General features: G+C 33.2%; 1 protein-coding gene across 2 annotated transcripts in view; it reads left to right on the forward strand.

Annotated features, from left to right (window-relative positions):
* Window positions 1–11712, forward strand: part of TMEM106B (transmembrane protein 106B) — a 32074-nt gene extending 20362 nt beyond the window's left edge. For both annotated transcript variants that reach the window (NM_018374.4, NM_001134232.2), the window contains one exon: window positions 182–11712. In NM_018374.4, coding sequence (NP_060844.2) covers window positions 182–320 — 139 coding nt within the window. In that variant the 3' untranslated portion in view covers window positions 321–11712. The remainder of the gene's footprint in view (window positions 1–181) is intronic.
* The last annotated feature ends 1665 nt before the right edge of the window (window positions 11713–13377 follow it).

Genomic DNA, 13377 nt, shown 5'->3' on the forward strand with positions numbered 1-13377 from the left:
CTATCCATTTTTGTTGTCTGTTGGGGAAATACTCCTTAAGAGGATTGTGTGCACAATATTAAGTTATCATTAATCAAATATTCTCTTCTGGGAGATAATTTTTATGTGTTAAAGTAGTCTCACTATGGAAAAACTTCTAATATAACTATTAAATGTCTCTCCTCACTTACATTATTTTTAGAGTTACTGTGACAACAACATACTTTGGCCACTCTGAACAGATATCCCAGGAGAGGTATCAGTATGTCGACTGTGGAAGAAACACAACTTATCAGTTGGGGCAGTCTGAATATTTAAATGTACTTCAGCCACAACAGTAAAAACTGGAAGAGATGGATTTAAAGAAGAAATATCTATTGATATTTCCTATACTCTCAATGAAGAGGTATTTCCTAATAGGAGACCTTAAATTGAACAAACCTAAAGTTTACACTTCTAAGAGTACAGTTAAAAGTATGTGGACCTGCAGTTCTTGTAACTCTCCACTCTGTGTTAATGATATATTTGTACTAGGATCTTTTACTTGAATCTAAATTTACTGGTTGATTTCCTTCTCCAGCCTATCCCCTACAGGGAAAAGCTGATACTTCCCCTATAGTACAATAAATAATTATTTAAAAGTCATAGCTCCAGTCACTACTGAAAACATAATTTTGGTGATAAACATAATTTGAGAAACTTAATTTCTGAATGTTTTTATAGAAAATTACTGAAAGTCTATTACTCATGGAAGACTTTTAAAGAATAACCTTTTTTCCTGTTTTATAAATTCCCATTGTTATATGGTAGTATTTCAGCTACACAATATTTTAGCTTTTAGCTAGACATTTATAGCTTTTCATTTGTTGAAATGGTAATCATCTGCATGTTTTTGTCACTTATTTCAGGTTAGTGATTGCCTAACACTTATAAGCCAAAATAATCTTTGCAAAATTCCATACCTAAAATTTTGAAAGCCCCTAATGTTTTCACACATCTTTCTGTATTAGTTATAGTTTTGTGAAATCTTTGTGTGATCTTCAAACATTATCATTTAATGTACAATACTGTAAATAAACTGTGCATGGCTTTTATACAGCTTTAGTAAATGTCAAATAAAGTGGTACAGACTCATTACAACAAGTTTCTCATAAAAATACAATAAATAGGAAAATGAAATTCAGAAACCCATAGACTGGGAATAGGTTCCAGTTACAGCTTGGATCTGGCATAAAATAAATTTGAAATAAAATATTTTGATGCTCCATTTTTTTATGTTGCTTTTCATACTAAAGAATGGTGTAGACATGTTTTGCAACTGTTAGGTACCCAGTTATCAATTTTATCAATGTTTTAGAGGAGGAAATTATTTTTTTGGTAGAAATTGTTCAAGAAATCCTTAATTGAATGTCATTAAATGATGGTGGCCAAAATAAAACCTATTTAGAAATTTAATCACTTTGCACATCACTTGGAATATGATGCCTCTAGTAGTTACTTTTTTATAGTTTTCTACTTTTGGTTTTATTTAAAATTGTTTTCAAATATAGATTATTGACTTATTCAACTTTGCTGTTTTATATTTTCAGTATCATTTTTCATTTTTTTTTTTTTTTGTCTTTTCACTTACCAAGTTCTAGGGACATTTAAAATATGTACTAAGTGTAGGAGTGGTTATGATACCAAAAAATGTAGCTGGGTTGAGATTAATTTCGTTCTGTTTTCTCATGACAGAAATCAGGTTTCCCTTTCCCCACCCCTAAGTGCCTAACTTAGGTCTGAAACAGCCTGTTTATTAGTCTGACTCTCTCAACCATAAAACATAAGCTTTATTTAATTCTGCCTTTAAACACACTCAGGTTTCCCCTTAATTTTCATATTATTTTCTGCAAGTTTTCTTGAGTATCTTCAATTCGTTGAATGTGGTTTTTGGTTTTTTTTTGTTTTAACACTAGTCTTCCCTTAATTCATTGCTAACTCAAGCCATCCTTACTATTAAACCCAAATCAGTCCTTTAAGTTCATTATGGCCTTTCTAGTATTTAAAAAAAAAAAAATCATTTTCATTTTTCTTCTGCTACGTTTCCTGACTACTACTGCATACTTCTCTGATACAGGTTCTGTTTGTATTTTTTATATCATTCTCATTTTCTCATTTGACATGATCTATGTCTATATATGATATAGGTCCCCTTTTGTCTCAAAATTTTTAATTATGTGACTTCAAAAATCACCTGTATCTGTAGTAGGGCTTCCAAATCTGCTTCTCCATATGTGACCAGTCACCTGTCTGCTTTCACATTTAGCTAGTGAACTACACATTTACTAAAATGTGTAAATTTTACACATTTAGTGACTGTGTAAAATAAAAAAAAAGTTATTTTATCATATCCTTTCTATTATGTTCCCATCCTGTCCTCATGTCCCATTTACTTTATTATCACCATTCATTTCTTCAAAATTATCTTTTAGATACGCTCATACAAAAATCAATCCTTGTTTTCTTGCTTGTGTCTTTTAACCTTGGAAAATTACATCGTGTAAATTAAACAGATTTTTCTGATGATCTGTGCTTCTTATATACTATTAGAGTGCATGATAGTATCTCCTGAAAAGGATGGAAAGTAGAAGCATTTGCTTTTAGTCACTTAATTTTGAATCTTTTTTCTTCATCTTTTGAATTAATTTTTTTTATTATATCTACTTTTAGTGGAGTTTGAGTCAGAAAAAAACAAGAATTTGAAACAAGTAAAAAGATAGAAGAGAAATAAAGATGGTATGTGACTACTTTCAGAGAGAGTTAAGTAACTGTCAGAATAAGCCTGGAACAAAACAGGCTGTAAATTAATAAAACTACAAACACACATTCAGGTGAAGCAGAAGTATAGCCATAAAACATCTAGAAAGAGTGAATGAGGCTTTTAGCTTTTCTTAGGTCAATGTCCAGTGTGCTTTTTTCCATGGGAATAGGATAGGTATTAATACGCTTTTCTAAACTGCTCTCAGACCTTATCCAGAGGACATGGTAAAGATATGTTACAGAAATTTTTCTGATACTTCCTGGAATAACTTTAAGTTACACCCTAGTAGACTGGTCATTCTAATAAAATCCAGTACTATAACAAACCTCTGTATGTTGATAGCACATTGGCCCTTTTTAGAGTTCTTTCCTATGTTTTTCTTACGTGATTTCCCACAGTTCCATGAGTCCAACAAAGGAGAGTGATAGGCTCCTTATCTTTTAGAAGAGGAAGGAAAGGCATGAAGAAGTTGAGGGACTGGCTGAAGATCACGTACTTACTAAGTAGTACAACTGGAGCAAGATCAAGTATCTCTGTCTCCCATATCTGTGTTCTATCATTTAAAATATATATTGGAAATCCCTGCTGACTCAGATTGGTATGATTAAAAATGAGAGGAAAGTTCAAATAGTTAGTAGTGACAAACTAATACTGCTGGACTAAGATTTTGGTAGCATTGTTTTCTAAAATATTTTAAATGGAGAATGAACACTTATAAAATGCTTTGGAACATAATCTTTAGCTTAATTTTCTGTTAAAATTTAGTACCCCTTCATCATTCCAATAAAGATAAGACTGATCCATTGTCTAAGGAAATTATTTATAAATAATAGAGATTAATTTATTTGAGATTTGAAATAAGAATAGTATGAAAATATTAGATACCACATAAATTGTTTGAAATTACTGAATAACCATCTTAAGTATGGAACATTTAAATGGCTATATTTTATTTGTGTACAGTTTTTCTGTGCCTTGTTAGGCCAGTGAAGCAATTATTTTCTCTAAGAAAATGACAATAAAATATAACACACTTCAGATTGTCTGATTTACAGTTTGGAAAGGACACCGCAATGTTCAAATAGGTAGGAGACCATCAAAAACACAATTAAAGTAACATATTAGGAGACTTGAAACTTCAGCCTAATAAATCCTTCATGGTTCTTAGCCTTATTATTGTGATATAATTCTAGATATTTTCTTGGAGGGCATGTGCCCAACTCTCCCGCACCCCATTTTGTTTGTCTTTTAAAGTTCTTAGAATAAACAGTTCTTTATATAATAATTATATTTTATTTAAGAAAATAGTTTGTTAGGTACTTTTTAAAAGATGTAAATTTTTAAATTTACAAATACATATGGGTCTTTGATAAGCAATAGGAATTGAATTACAAGTTACTAGGGTTATAAGCAAAAGGTTGCTTACCATAATGTCATTAGGTCACGATTTTTAGCTCACATCTGGAAGCAGCAACTACTTGGCTCAAGTACATATAAGAGTAATTAGTTTTATTCTCTCTTTTTTATAAAATCGGGTTTCAGATGAGATGTTTATCTTAGACTATTTTAGGGAAAAATTTTACATGTTTGAGATGGTGGAGTAAAAAGACTGTTAAACATTTCTTTTAAAAAATTATTTTTACATTACAACAATATATTTATGATGTGTTCAGATCAAAAATTTAACTTCTGTGTCCCAGATCTACTTTCAAAGTGAGATTTTCACTTGTCAGCTTAAATTTCTGACTAGAACTAACATTTGTGTATTTTTGTGCTTAGTCGGAATACAAATTTCACAGTGGATTTTTGAAGTTTGTCCTTAAATTGGATAAAATCAAGTGATTAAAGTTACTAAAGAGATAAAAATGGTAATTTCCATTTTTAAAAGTAATTTGGTTGTGTTTATAGTTATTTGTACAAGTATTTATCACAGACTCTAAATTGAAAAATGTAGTATGATCTATATTTGACCCTAAAAATGTTGGATTAATTTAACAAATATGGCAGATTTTTCATAACTAAGTCTTAAGTCTTCTAAAAGGAAGCTGTTACCCTTCTGTTTTTAATTACATTAATTGAAATGTGTTTTAAGAGATACAATTTCAGCATATTTTATATATTAAAAAACAAAAAAGGATTAGTATTGAGCCAGTGGCCAAAAGGTAATATTACTACCATGTAGACTGTTATAGTTCAAATTGTCCCACTTCACCCAGAATTTTAGAAACTAGAAGTCTGGGAGGTACTATATCAGCTGTAGTTGGGTAATTCCAAGTGCTGATAGTACTATTCATCTTTTTTATTATTGTGTCAGATGAAACAAATGCCAAGTTGCAAAATATGCAGATTTTTATTATATAATGGTTTTAGGCATAAATTATTAACAAGCCATGCCTTATGTGTTTCATCTTATATTTTTCTTTAGAACTAAACTATAACAGATTTTGGAAAATGATTTGACGTGCTTGCTCACTTGATTGACTTGGTCAGATATTTGAATGATGGTATTACCTAGATTCTAATCCTTGATTCTAGTTATATAATAAATAATATAGAATATGAAAATATGTTTGGGCATTTACTGTTTATATTATGTAGTAGCCTCCATCATGACACACTTACTACATTTATGAATTGAGCAGTTCTGTAATTGTAATTATTATTGCTGTTCATGTAACAAAACATGCTTATAATAGCAAACAAATAGAAATGCCCCCAAAATGCTATTTTTTTAATTCAGTTATAACTGTTACTCTTGTAGTTGTGTATGACGCAATAAAATTTGTAAAAAAATTTCAGCATGAAAAATAAAATTTGTATCACTTATGTATTTTGGCTATGCTTTTGAAATTTCCTTAACATAAACAAATCAGTGTAGATATTCAAAATCTTTTACCTTTAATCCTTTTCATCCTTATAGTCCTTACCTGAACTCTACTTTAGCATTATCTTTGATTTCTTTTTTTCATTCACTTAACTTCCAATCAGTACTCAAGCTTTATCCATTCTACCTCTGTAATGTCTCTGGAATTTATCTCATACGTGAAATTTCCCTTGATATTATAGACATACCTTGGATATATTGCAGGTTTGGTTCCACACCATATCGATAAAGTGATATAATCAAGCAAGTTACACACCTTTTTTTGGTTTCCCAGTGCATATGAAAGTTATGTTTACATCATACTGTAGTCTATTAAGTGTGCAATAGCATTATGTCGAAAAACACAATATATATGCCTTAATAAAAAATAGGCTGTGTGCAGTGGCTCACACCTGTAATCCCAGCACTTTCGGAGGCCAAGGTGGGAGGATCACCTGAGCCCAGAAGTTCAAGACCAAATTGGTCAACATGGCGAGACCCCATATAAAATATATACATACACACACACACACACACACACACACACACACACACACACTATTGCTAAAAAATGTTAACGATCATCTGAATGTTCAGAAGTTTATACTCCTTTTGCCGGCACAGGATCTTGTCTGGATGTTGTTTGCTGATAGATCCATGTAGTGGTTACTAAAGTTGGGGTGGCTATGGCAATTTCTTAAGACAACAATGAAGTTTATCACATCTATTGCCTTGTCCTTTCATGAAAGATGTCTCTAGCATGTGATGCTGTTTTGATAGCATTTTACCAATGGTAGGTCTTTTTTCAAAATTGGAGCCAGTCCTCTCAAACCCTGCCTCTGCTTTATCGACCATGTTTAAATAATTTTCTAAATTCTTTATTGTCATTTCAGCAGTGGTCTCAGCATCTTCACCAGGAGTAGATTCCAACTCAAGAAACCACTTTCTTAGCTCATTCATAAGAAACAATTCCTCATCTGTTCAAGTTTTGGCATCAAGTTGTAGCAATTCAGTCACATCTACAGACTCCATTGCTAAATTTTAGTTCTCTTGCTATTTCCACATCTGCTGTGACTTCCTTCACTGAAGTCATGAACCCCTCAAAATTATCCATGAGAGTTGAAATCAATTTCTTTCAAACTCCTGTTAATGTTCATATTTAGACCTCTTCCCCTGAATCACAAATGTTGTTAATGGCATCTAGAATGGCAAATCCTTTCTGGAAGGTTTCAATTTACTTTGCCCAGATCCATCAGAGGAATCACTACCTATGACAGCTATGGTCTTACAAAATGTATTTCTTATATAGTAAGATTCAAAAGTCAAATTTACTCCCTGATCCATGGCTGCAGAATGCACGTTGTGTTAAGAGGCATGAAAACAACATTAATCTATTTGTACATCATCAGAGCTGTTGGGTGACCAGGTACATTGTCAATGAGTAGTAATACTTTGAAAGGAATTTTTTTTTCCAAGCAGGTCTCAACAATGGGCTTAAAATATTCAGTGAACCGTGTTGTAAACAGATGTCATATTATCCAGACTGTTCCATTTATTGAACACAGGCAGAGTAGGTAAAAGTTTTAAGGGTCCTAGGATTTTCAGGATGGCAAATGAGCATTGGCTTCAACTTAAAGTCACCAGCTACATTCACCACTAAAGAGAGTCAGCCTGTCCTTTAAAGCTTTAAAGGCAAGCATTGACTTCTCTTTAGCTATGAAAGTTTTAGATGGCACCTTTTTGTAAAAGAAGGTTGTTTTATCTACATTGAAAATATATTGTTCATTGTAACCACTTTCATCAATGATCTTAGCTAGATATTCTGGGTAACTTACTGCAGGTTCTCCATCAGCACTTACTGCTTCACCTTGCACTTTTATATTATGGAAACAACTTATCTCCTTAAACATCATTAACCAACCTCTTGGTAGCTTCCAACTTTTCTTCAATAGCTTCCTCATCTCTCTCAGCCTTCATAGAATTGAAGCGTGTTAGGGCTTTGTTCAGGATTAGGCTTTCACTTAAGGCAATGTTGTGGCTGGTTTGATCTATTGAAACCACTAAAACATTCCCATATCGGCAATAAGGCTGTTTGATTTTCTTATCATTCATGTTTTCTGGAACACTTTTCAATTACTTACAGTAAGGAAATAGCACTTTTAATTTCCTTCAAGAACTTTTCCTTTGCCTTCACAACTTGTGCAAGAGACCTAGCTTTCAGCCTATCTTGACTTTCCAAGATTGTCCTTGGTGAGAAATGCTTGATTACTAGGTGTAATTATTTCTAGCTTTTGATTGAAAGTGAGAGATATGTGACTCTTCCTTTTACTTGAACAGTTAGAGGCTATTGTAGGATTATTAATTGGCCTAATTTCAATGTTATTTTGTCTCAAGGAGAGAGGGATGTGGGAACAGCTGGTTAGGAGAGCAGTCCGAACACACACTTTTTTTTATTACTTTCACTGCCTTACATGGGTATGGTTCATGCTGCCTCCAAATACTTACAAAAACATCAAAGATCACTGATTACAGATCATTAAAATAGGTTTAATAATAATGGAAACATTTGAAATATTGCAAAAATTACCAAAATGCGACAGAGACATGAAATGAGAACATGCTGTTGAAAAAAATGGCACTCATAGACTTGTTGGACACAGGATTGAAAGAAACCAATTCATCAAAACCACAATATCTGCAAAACGCAATAAGGTGATGCACAATAAAAGGAAGTATATCTGCACTTCCTTCTTTTTTACTGAAAAAGCCCAAGTTCTTACTCTGGTGTTGAGAACCTTTCATTAGCTGGCTACAATCTCAGTTCACAATCATTTCTTATTGCCCTTCAACAATGTCCTGACCAAATCGAGTTCTTTCTCATTGGGAACAGTTCATTCCTTTATCCCTTCGCTCATTCTGTTCCTTTTTTCTTAGAAAAATTATTTGCCCATGTTTTTTATCCCCCAATTCTATCTTTTTCAATGCCCACTTCGTGTCCAACCCCTCTCTACTTTCCCTCTAAACTTACTCAAACACTTGGTGAACTTTTTCTGAATGTTTTTTCTGAATGTTTACTTTTAAAGGAGTTGCCCAGTCACAAAGTTTGAGCCAAGTTTTTTTGTTTTAAACTTGTTTTAAACTTTTGTTTTCATCAACTTTTTTCAAACAATTTTTGTCAGCTTAGAGGTTGTGTTTTAATTACTATTTTTAAAATCTTGTATGAGGTAGTATGATTTGAAATTAGATGGAATGTGCCCAAAATTATCTCTGTAGAATAATATGGAAAAACGAAAATGAAAAGATGTATTACCTGAATGTGCTCCTCCTAGCCAGTTTCTCAAGGGAGAAGAATCATTAATAAGTTTGTGAGGCTTTTTTTTTTTTTCTGGTAGATTTCTGTTTCCTTGATCAGTGGTTTTTCAGAATTTTTTAAAGCTTGTGAAATACTTATTTGTAAATAGCATCTTATGAGGAACCTTGATATGTGACAAAACAGATGCTTTGATTTGAGAGCAGAAGACCTGCAGCCCCTGACTGCTCACCTTTCCAGGGACCCCTGAACATTGGCCTAGAGGGTAGTGTACAGTCACTTCTTCAGTGATAACTTACTGAGTGTGATTCAACAAAACTGCTTTGGTTTATGGGTGAAACATAATTTATAACTAGGCAAATGTCAGCTTAAATTTATATTTTCTAAATAGCACTGAAAATGACAATAGACAAATGTAATTTCTGATTTTTAAGAAATGATTTTCCATTTTAACATACATTTTAAATGTTTTGTCTTCAAAGGGAATCCTTAAAAATGATATATTGGAAACCACTGATTTCTTATTTTCATTTCATGAATTTCAGATTCATGAATGGAATATATTGATAATAGCATTTTTTAAGTTGCCCCAAAAAGATGAAATACAAATAATTTTAATCCCAAATCTATTTCAGACACCTAACTTTTTTTTTATTTTTTATACTTTAAGTTCTAGGATACATGTGCAGAACGTGCAGGTTTGTTACATAGGTATACACGTGCCATGTTGGTTTGCTGCACCCATCAACCCGTCATCTACATTAGATATTTCTACTAATGCTATCCCTCCCCTAGCCCCCTACCCCACAAAAGGCCCCAGTGTGTGATGTTCCCCTCCCTGTGTCCATCTGTTCTCATTGTTCAACTCCCACTTATGAGTGGCAACATGTGCTGTTTGGTTTTCTGTTCCTGTGTGTGTTTGCTGAGAATGATGGTTTCCAGCTTCATCCATATCCCTGAAAAGGACATGAACTCATCCTTTTTTATGGCTGCATAGTATTCCATGGTGTATATATGCCACATTTTCTTTATCCAGTCTATCATTGATGGACATTTGGGTTGGTTCCAAGTCTTTACTATTGTGAACAGTGCTGCAATAAACATATGTGTGTATGTGTCTTTACAGTAAAATGATTTATAATCTTTTGGGTATACACCCAGTAATGGGATTGCTGGGTCAAATGGTATTTCTGGTTCTAGATCCTTGAGGAATCACCACACTGTCTTCCACAATGGTTGCAATTTACACTCCCACCAACAGTGTGTAAAAGCTTCCTATTTCTCTACATTCTCTCCAGCATCTGTTGTTTCCTGACTTAATGATTGCCATTCTAACTGGCGTGAGATGGTTTCTCACTGTGGTTTTGATTTGCATTTCTGTAATGACCCGTGATGATGAGCTTTTTTTCATGTTTGTTGGCTGCATAAATGTCTTCTTTTGAGAAGTGTAAGGTACTTAATTCTTAAATTAAAAAAAAATACCCGGCCGGGCACGGTGGCTCACGCCTGTAATCCCAGCACTTTGGGAGGCCGAGGCGGGTGGATCATGAGGTCAAGAGATCGAGACCATCCTGGCTAACAAGGTGAAACCCCGTCTCTACTAAAAATACAAAAAATTAGCCGGGCGCGGTGGCGGGCGCCTGTAGTCCCAGCTACTCGGGAGGCTGAGGCAGGAGAATGGCGTGAACCCGGGAAGCGGGGCTTGCAGCGAGCCGAGATTGCGCCACTGCAGTCCGCAGTCCGGCCTGGGCGACAGAGCGAGACTCCGTCTCAAAAAAAAAAAAAAAAAAAAAAAAAAAATACCCTTCTTTAACAAAATCAAGTTTCAAGTTTTCTGCCTTGTTGATAACTTGTTAACATTTTTTTATTTTAGAATAAATCTAAACAGAGACCACACTGATATCTGTAACAACCTATGTAAAGTTAAGATTAAGGTTAAATCACATTTTTCACAGAGAGTGTTTTACTGAAATATAAACTTTTATGCATCTGATATTATCTAATTGTGTCCTTACTGGGTAACTTGTGTATTTTTCAAGTTAAAGGATTTCCTAAAAATGCTTATTTGAATATTTATGTCATTTGTCACACATACTTTCAAAACATAACCTTCTTCAACGAGTATCTTCTTTTCCTTCCTAAAATACTGTTAATAGCTGGCTATTTTGTAAGCCTGTATCTGGTTTAAAAAAAAGAAGTGAATATTTTCAATACTTATGAACCATAGAATTCTGTATTCTTTTCATAACTTTTAACTTTTCCATAGGACCTATCACTATGTAAAATATTATACATATCTACTGATTTATTTATTGCCTATGTACCTATACTAGAACATAGTAAACATGAGAACAGGGAATCTTGGTTATTAATTCCTGCAGGACTCAACTACTTATCACTCAAACATTTGTTCTTGAAAAGAACTTCGTATAACATCATTAGATTTTTACAGAATCTTTAAAAAAGCTTTAATATTTTCAAGGTTTTTTATTTATATAAATATTGTTACTTTACCACTAGTGATTTCAATAGTGGCATTGTCACATGATTCAAGAAGAGGAGGCCATTACATTACTGTTGTATTAAAAAGTCAGTTCAGGCTTAATATATATGACTACTATAAGTCAACCTCACATTTTAATGTATGAAGAAGATTGTATGAACGATCACATTAATTCATTTAAATAGTATGTATTTTGATACTAATTTTTAAGAAGAAATGTATCATTCTCATGGAAATAAAAGATAATTTGAAAAGCATGTTGTGCTATTTATATCAGGGAAAATTTGTTCAGCTCACACAAAGCCATACATTGACATATTTTTTAAAAATGCTGTAGTACTCTATAGTCTTTGAACTTACTTAATACCTGTTAAGAGATATAACAAACTGAAAAGTTATTTCAGGAGCTAATGTGTTCAATGGAATAAAGTTGATGTACTAAGTAATAGATAAAATGTTAAGAGTTTTCTCCGTGTCAGGCACTATAACAAGCATTCTTTAGGCATTTTTTTTTATAATATATACAGCCTTACGAGGTATGTACTATTGTACTATTGTTGCTATTTTCCTTTTTACAGTTTAAAAACTGAGGGTTAGTTCAACTTGGGGTTTAAACTTTGACTTGCTCTTTCAATCTAAAAACTAACTCATTAACAATGTTGGGAAAATGGTACATTGTTTTATTTTTGATCCACACTACTTAGGTTTTAACTTAGGCTGGATTTTATCATCATAAGACTTATTAAAGGCAAAATATTATGTAAGTAGTACCACAATCTCCCTTTATGAAATTATTATCATCTTTTTCCAAGTATATTTAAAGATCTAATTATGACACTTAGAATTGCAAGAACTCAAAATGGTGTGGTGATGGGTACCCAAAGTTTCAATCCAGTCAACTATAAGCAACAACTATACACACGGCATTGTGTTTGATTGTAGGGGATACAATGATGAAAGTATACAGTCTCAAACTCAAAATAAGACAGTTTACTGGCCAAAAATACACTGTTTCATCCCCTTTATCTCGCCTACACATTACCCTCTTCTATTTTTCATTATCTGTTACAGTACTACAATGGAGAACAGAGCTGCAGTACAACTATAGCATTTTGAGGGGCTGGGAGAACGGGATACAGGGTAAGGAAGATCATGAAGAGTCTAAGCAGAACTTTCCAGTCATTGTACTACAATGGGTTGCAGGCGTGCCAGCCCTCTGGTGGCCACATAAGTCCTGGAGTGGCTGGTCATCTCAGACTGGGAGCTTCCTCATTGGTTTGTCCTAATGGGCTGAGCAAATGTTTTCTGTGAATGGCATGAGGACAAATGTTGGGAAGCCCTGTACTCTAAGGAGGTGATAAAATAATCTCTCTTTGTTAATCCTATTAACTCTGACAGAAAGTACTTTGTGACATATTTCCTAAGCTTTGATTGGAATAGACTATACTATTATTTACTTAATTTTTCAAGTCAAATCCGGGTTTTAACTTAGATCTGCTTTTATCCTTTTATGACTTATTGAAGGTATATAATTTTTAAAACATAAATATTTATCTTAATTCAAACAATAGTAAGATAAAACTGACTTGCCTGAATGGTCATCTTATATACCAGTTATGAGTATACAGGCATACTGATTTCGGGAAAGCCAAAATGACTTTAGATAGGGTGCGTTTTTAAAGCAGCATGATTTTAGGTGCTGGAAGCATTGTTCAAATCCTTTTTTCACTTCTCAATTCTAGCAGTACAGTATTCAAGGACACCTGCTCTCAGTGGTAAGCATTTTTATTTACTTTATCTAGAGCTGTAGATAAAATACTGGCAGCAACCTGCCACTTTCAATTTTTTTACAAACTACCTATTTAAATGTTTAGACAGTTCATTCTAAGAGTATTCCAGTTGAGTTGAAGAGACATTTACCC

The sequence above is a fragment of the Homo sapiens genome, chromosome 7 (genome assembly GCF_000001405.40).
Source record: "Homo sapiens chromosome 7, GRCh38.p14 Primary Assembly".
NCBI classification, from domain to species: domain Eukaryota; kingdom Metazoa; phylum Chordata; class Mammalia; order Primates; family Hominidae; genus Homo; species Homo sapiens.